The 7,737-nt window shown below is 45.6% G+C and overlaps 1 annotated feature.

Moving 5' to 3' along the window:
- Positions 603-1,447: an enhancer, noted in NCBI's record as "H3K4me1 hESC enhancer chr10:131217643-131218487 (GRCh37/hg19 assembly coordinates)". NCBI's record gives its function as "activates a minimal SCP1, AML or CMV promoter by ChIP-STARR-seq in naive H9 embryonic stem cells {active_cell/tissue: H9 hESC(naive)}" and the evidence as "EXISTENCE:reporter gene assay evidence [ECO:0000049][PMID:30033119]".

Here is a 7,737-nt window from a genome sequence, read left to right as displayed (position 1 = left end):
TTATTTATTTATTTATTTATTTGAGACAGAGTCTTGCTCTATCACCCAGGCTGGAATGCAGTGGTGCGATCTTGGCTCACCACAACCTCCGTCTTCCAGGTTCAAGCAATTCTCCTGCCTCGGCCTCCCAAGTAGCTGGGATTACAGGCATGCGCCACCATGCCCGGCTAATTTTTGTATTTTTAGTAGAGATGGGGTTTTACCACGTTGGCCAGGCTGGTCTCGAACTCCTGACCTCAGGTGATCTGCCCGCCTTGGCCTCCCAAAGTTTTGGGATTACAGGTGTGAGCCACCGTGCCCAGCCAGGGCACAAACTTTAAAGAGCTCCAAAAAACTCGGCAATCAAGACTTACAATAATATAATATTAAAAATAAAAACTAATGCAAAAAATCCACTATGCATGAAATAGCAATTCTGTTTTCTAAATAAAGGGGTGGCATCACTGATGCTTCCTCTTGCCTGAAGTTCCAGTAGGATTTGACACAGCACACTAAGTTGAATTCATTTTGATTTTTAAAAATATTATGTATTGATGATTGAGCTTCTTGGCATTCCCTAAAATTTTGTATCCAAGGTGAGATCCTCCCTCTCCTCACTCTAGTACCCACCTGCCCAGGAATATTACCGGGAAATTTCTAGACCAGTAATGGATACTCTGCCGGTTGGCCCCATGCTATCCTAGGATTTTTCTCAGATTAATCTTGGGCATTCATATTTGTTGTTTCATTTTCCACACATTCTACATATGAATAGCAACTTTGATTTTCAAAATTCCATCCAGTTTCGCCCCTCAACCAACAAAGATTTTGTGATTCTGTTGCCAAAATAAGCAAGGGACAGAGGTCCCAGGTAGCACAGCTGACCCTGGGGTGGCAAGTGATGTGCTGTCCGTCACCTGCCAGGCCACCTTGTCTCCATCAGGAGATGGTGGGGAGGTGGCCCTGGGCTTTGCGAGTGCGCTAGAGCATCCTGCGAAGGGGGAGGCGGCCTTCCTTGGGCTCTGGGCACAAGCCCAGCAGGGAGTCCAGGGTCAGGGCACTGAATGGTTAAAAGTATCTCTTCGACGGAGAGACGATGCCGAAGGAGTGACGTCAAGGGGAAGACGGCTGAAACGCGGGCATGATTGAAAAATGAGGATTCCTCGCGTGAGGGATGCGCGCTTAGCAAAGGGCAGCCTGGCTGTAGCCCAGCGCGCCTTCCGCGTGAGGAATGGGTCATCTTTCACCTTCCTGCCTGGGAGGACGCAGCCGGCGCACGGGCCTGGCTCCCAGGCTCACCCCGGCAATGAATTTGCTGCTTCTTAATGTAAAACCGGCCTTTTCTGGTCATTGTGCCATTTTATTTACGGCCTGTCTTTGGGGGGCTCTTGATCAATAGATTTAGTCCCACAGTATATTTCTTCCTTTCAGTTGTTCCTGGTTATGTTTTTAAATTACACGGGGCTGCTAATGATTGTGCTGCTTGCCCTTGAGTGAACCTGGGCTTTTGCCTGCCAGGCGGCCGGGTTTAAAGGCGTCTTGGCTGCAGGTTAACACCAGCCTCCCAGATGGGCCTGTTTCTGGGAGATGAGGGTGCTTGATGCAGGCTGGCAGTGTGTGGGCAGTGTGGAGGGGTGCCGTGTTCCTGGGGACTGGCCTTCCGTCTTGGGCCCTCCAAGACCATCTTGGGAGTCAGAGCTGAGTTTGAACAGTTAGAAAGACTGAGGCCACGATGCGGAGGTCCTTTGGTCCACTTGCCCGCTGCCCTGGGCTGTGTCCTCCCTGACATGGTCAGGACAGACTGGTGAGAATCTCCAACACAGCCTCCCTCAGGGGGGCCGTGCCTTGGTGAGGCGGATGAACATCGCCTTGTAAGGGGCAAGCCAGAGCCTGGTGCGGGGCGGGGAGGGGTGTTAGGGTAACAACTGCTTATTGATCCCCCGGGGCCACAGCCAGGGGTCATGATTTCTGCCTAATTTGAGCACAGACAACCCAGTGTGGCAATAGTATAGATGCTGATTTGTGTGATTCAATTAAATTATTGTTAGCATTTTCATGCAAATGAAGATAAGTTCTTTTGGCACGTGAATTGTGCGTTTAATAAAAGCTGCAGATTTTGGGCTGCGAACAGAGTGTGTTAACTTGGGTTTCTGGGGGTAATCCTGGAGCCCTACGCTTCCAAGAGCTTCCACCGACTGGAGCCGGCTAATTCCCACTGATTCAGTAATTCATGGGCAAAGTATTCTCACACCTCCCCTTCATTTTCCTCTCAGTATTCCACAGAGCAGCCTTATCTCCACCTATCAATTACTGCAGTATTAATTTATTTCCCTGTATCTCTCTCCCTGTGCGTGGTGGGGGCACGCTCACTTAAAATATATATATATTTTTTCCCCTTGCTGGAGGCTCTCGTGAAACAAGGCTAATATTCGGCACTTGGGATTTAAGCCGCTGCATTTCACAAAGTTTGGATGTATTAACGAACAAAAATAAGAGTGCGGAGAACCTGGAAAATTAGCAGCCAGCAGACAGCGTGCAAACAGGAAACTGTCTGATTATGCGCACGGGTGCAAAATTAGTAAAAGAATTCGAAATTGTCTCGTGCTCAGAGATTCTATTGTTTTCAAAGAATAATTCCATCTATTTTAACATTTTCGAGTGTAATTCCGTGGGTAACCGCTCTTCCTTTGATTGTGAGCGATGGTAATTGAAAGGTGTGGCTTGGCGTCTGTTTTGGCAGTTAGTTAGACTCAGATCTTTTGTTGAAGAGCTCAAAGTGCTGGCTTTCCTGGCCAGCCTCCCTCCGTGTTTCTGTTTTGGTGATGTGATGACAGACTTACAGTGTGTTTCCTTGTGTGTATGGTAACAGATGTTTATGTGAATAACAGACTTTTTTATGAAGCCATACACTTTATAGCCAAATACTAATTAAAAATAATTGCATGTAAGCATTTTTGTTTATTCCCCGTTGTGCATCTTTAATCATTTGGAATCACCTGCAGTTGAAAATTGAGGCAAAGATTTGATACTGCAATTATAAGAGGCCATCTGACTATATATTAGGTAGAAATAGCAACATATTTGAGAAAAAAATATTAAACAAGCTGAGTGCCAGGTCATTCTGAAGTCTCTTGTATATCGGGTCAAAATACTAATACATTACTTTGTTAAACTAATAGGATTTTAAGGCATCATTCAGCCACCAAAACAACTGCTTCATGAATAATATCCGATACCTGACACATTTTGTGCACTAACAAGCTCATTACAAGTGGGTTTTAATTAGAGGTGTAACAGATGGTTCCCAATAAATATGGGCAGCGGCGACTCCTTGGCTTTTTTTTTTCCTTTGAAAGACAAAAATTGCAGGTAATTGAGAGACTCAGAACCTTAGTTTGGGTTTAATAGTATGTGTTCAATTAAAACAAAGTGCCAAGTGCCAGGAATGTGACTCAGATAGTTGGACACTGTAAAACAAACAAACCAGGGTTAAAAATGCCTTTCCTGTTTAGAAGTGGGCTTCCAGATGCCGAAGCGGGGACAAGCCACGTGCAGCCCGTGACTCACCACAGCTTTCTTCTTGGGGCTTTGTTTTTAAGCATTGCCTGTCGATGCGTTATGAAGAATTAATAAGACATTTCGGAGTGTTCTTGAACTCCAGCACTGAACCTTCTCGGCGCTGTGACATTTAACAAACACATTTAAGCAGAAAATAAAGGGAAGGTTCTAAAAGCCACCAGTGCCTCTCTCGCAAGCATTTTAGTACTATTTGGGGACATGAGAAGAGAAGGGGAACAGATAAACTGGGCAATGAGTTCCACTCTGAGAGTTTTCATTTTAAATGAACTAGATTTGACATTTGTGTTGTGTATGGGATAAGGAATTTGGTAAACTTGCATAGGAAGAAGGCTTATGTTTTGAAAGAAATCATACGTTTTTTTTTTAAAAAAAAAAAACTATTTGCTTTTGATGTAGAGAAAATTCTTACCTAAAAGAAAAACCTTAACACGCATAATAAGAGAAATTTAGAAATCAATGTACAAGAATTTATAAAAAGCATCATTTCATCTTTTGAATATGCGTTTTTTGTTTAAGGGAAGAGGAGTTGAGAGGCATCTTCAGCTCCTAATGAATGCTAGTGGCTGTGCGACCTTCCACCTCCCTCTGAATACACGGTTTTCGGAATGATGGCATTCATTCCCCTGGCAGCAGGTCTTCCCACATCAGATCGACAAAGGGTTGTTTAAGGCAGAGAAAGAGGTTGCAGTTTTTGGGGAGGCTTCTCCAAAATTTCAGAATTAGAAATGTAGAGGATTGGACATGCTTTTTTCTTCCAAGGGCATTTTCCCCCTGACTGTATCTCACCGTTTCTCTGCTGTGTTTTTCAAGCGGCATTTCTTCTTGCACACACAGTGGAGTTGCGTTTCATGCTATGCCATTGCCTGAAAATAAGGCCACTTCAGGTATAAAATATTCCACCCATATTCCCTGGGGCAAATAGCTGACATGCAGCAACTCTTCAGACGTGGAGCCACTAGGCCGGCAGACGTGGAGATAGTCACACATCGACAGCATCGAGCTCCACAGCCAGAAATAGCATTAGTCAGAGTGTGAGGGTTTTAATTTCATTAAGAATTTTTTTGACAGCATGACACCCCAGAGTCTTGTTCCAGTTGTTTCTTATCATTTAAGGAGGGGAGGGCGCTAAGGAGGTGGGAAATAAATCCCTAGGCTGGACTCGTAAATTTCATTTTTAAAGCTGAGAAGCACAACTTGATATTCATCCACTCATAATGCACTTGCTTGAAAATTCCATGGACCTCCGTGGGAATGTTGAGCAGGCTGGGCAGGGCCGGGTGCTGCCCCGAACGGAATGCTGGCACTGGAGGGCATGCTGCCCCGAGATGCCTGATTGATGCATGTCACCACAGTGGCACGTTGACTAAAATGTACAGAAAGACAGGGGATGTGTCATCCTGTGCAATTTCAGAATGAAAATAACCAAGGCTTCCATTCAACAGATGGAATGAAGAAGCACCCGTCAATAAGGGCGTGAGTGACATTGGAGCTGGCAGAATCAGCCGAGTTTCGATCGGTGTGCACCACATTCTCTTGATGACGAGGTTGCATTTCAGCTGCCAATCCCCCCTCACTCGCAGATCGTGCTCCCTGCATCTGCTTAGGATTGTTGACAAAGACTACAATGCCAGTGCCTGACAGTTAACGACCAGTCCTTACAGCCGAGACAGGCTATCCTGCTTCCAGTGACCAGGAGGCTAGCAAAACTAGCGCACGTTATTTCTTCCTCTCGAGATCCCGGAATCACAATGCCCCTAGGACCCGCAGTTGTCAAGGCCCCTGGGGCTCAGGGCTGTCACCCTTCATGCTTAACTAGTTCATGAGGACCATAGTGAAGATTAATAGCTGCCACGGCCTTCGTTGTCATCAGTGCAGAGATGAAACCCAGCCGCACATTTGACAAGGCAAGTGGCCCGGTGACTAAAGAGCACTGGAGTGGAATTCGGGAGGCCCCGGACTTTTCCCGGCGTTAACCTTAGAAAAGCATTTATTTTTTTTTCAGCAGAACCCTGTCTTCTACTCCGTCCTACTGTCTAAAGTTGGACTATTTGTACTGGGGTTTCCAGTTGCTTACGGAATGCATCCGTGTTGAAAACAAATGAATTAGAGAATGAATGAGAAGTTCTCCTTTTGCAGGGAGACTTTGGTCTATCCATGACTGGGCCAGAACCACAGTTCCTGGTACTGGGGTGGGCTCTTGAACCAAGCCCTAGGCTCTGGGTGTTTTAGGTTTTCCAACTAAGTCCAGACACCATGTCAATACGCTGCCAATCCCATGCTCTCATTCCAACTGGGGAACCTTCCTTTCAGCTCAAAGACACCTCTCCAGAACACAGTCCCAGCATGAACCTTCCTTCCAGCCCAGAGACACCTCTCCAGAACACAGTCCCAGCATGAACCTTCCTTCCAGCCCAGAGACACCTCTCCAGAACACAGTCCCAGCATGAACCTTCCTTCCAGCCCAGAGACACCTCTCCAGAACACAGTCCCAGCATGAACCTTCCTTCCAGCCCAGAGACACCTCTCCAGAACACAGTCCCAGCATGAACCTTCCTTCCAGCCCAGAGACACCTCTCCAGAACACAGTCCCAGCGTGTTCTGCAGAGAAGCCGCTGATCTGGGGTAACACACTGGACAGTGGGGCTGGGGGACAGGTCCTAGGCAGAATTTTGAAAACAACCTTGCATAAAGGCCCTTTCATGATTTTATATTTCAACTTGATTTCCATGAGATTTCCCATTTGTTTCCCCACAATACAGAGCCAAGAGCTCCGTCTAATTTATCTGCCCTACCAGCCAAGGGAAAAGGAAGTGCCGACAAATCCCTGAGTTCAAAAAGGGACGCAGGATTATATCTGAGGAGGAGTGTGAAAAGTGAAGTCTGAGTGGTTTATTTCATCACGAAGTCGTCTTGGGCTTGTTCCATGCGCAGGCCCTGTGGCACAGAACAGGATGACGAGCAGTGGGGTCCTGTGCCTGAACCAGCCTGTGTTCCAGGGTCACACGGCCGGTGCTCTCAGCCCACACTGTTGTTGTATGGACTTTATTTGCCTTTCATGCACTAAAATGTGCTTGGGTCCACTTTGGTACATGTGTGCACACACAACAAATCTACATAATATCTGAAATCCAGAAACGAATAAGAAGTCAGTTTAAGGTTTGCCTCGTTTATATTCATTCACTCACTCATTCATTCATTCACTCATTCATTCATTCCAAAAGGGAAGCCTCTCCACAAAAACGAGTGGGGTGGGGGATGTCTCTGGAGCTGCCCAAACTCCCACCCACTTCTCAAACCTGAGCAAAGCACCAACTCATCCTTGAAAGTGGCTGCCTCACTTCAATTAAGTTTGAATTAATTCTTGCCGGTTTCCTTTACAAAACATCCAGGTTTTAATTGTTTCACCTAATTACTGGACTGCGACCCAGATTTAAGACCTGACACAGGTGATAGGAAATGATGGGTTTCCTTTGATTATTTTCATTTATTGTCTCAAGAGCGTTTTGGAGCAGAATCTTCCTCCTTTTTCGTTACTAGTTACTTGCATGTCTGACCTTGCAGACTCAGACTGGATGAAATTTCCTCAAATCAACATGTAATCTCTAAGTGCCTCTACCTTACCTTTAGAATCAAATTCAGTTATAATTGTCCTCAAAGCCAGGCTACAATAGTGTGTGATCAAATGAGAAAAATCTGTGCTTAGATCCACAACTTTTGTGTCTACCCAAATTGTGCAGAGGGCTTAAGGAACAGAGACCTGCAAATTCAATGGATGCTAATTATAGTATTTATTTCTAGCTACATATTTGCATGCAAATATCAGCCTGTATAAATTTGGCATTGAAAGCACCCCAAGGCTCTAGTCTGGCAGATGGGTATTGGATCACAATGAAACTTAACAGTACCTGGGGGCTTTGGGGCCAAACAGAGGCTCTGAGCAACAGGAGAGCATCCGTCTTCCCTCTTCTGAGATGACAGTGTGGGCTTTATACATTGTTCTGGCCAGAAAATATTTAAGAGGTGGTTTGGAAAAACACTTTGGGCTGATAGCCAATTTCCCTTAACGTTCTGCAGACAGTCTGTAGATCTTGGAAAGTAGGACATCTTTAAATCACTTTATTTTGTTTTATTTGAGGTTGAGGAGTATCGGCATAAGCTGGGAGGATAGCATAGCCGGCT

Source organism: Homo sapiens, chromosome 10 (genome assembly GCF_000001405.40).
Source record: "Homo sapiens chromosome 10, GRCh38.p14 Primary Assembly".
NCBI classification, from domain to species: Eukaryota; Metazoa; Chordata; class Mammalia; order Primates; family Hominidae; genus Homo; species Homo sapiens.
Note: the sequence above shows the minus strand (reverse complement) of the source record. Positions and strands in the feature narration are given on the sequence as shown.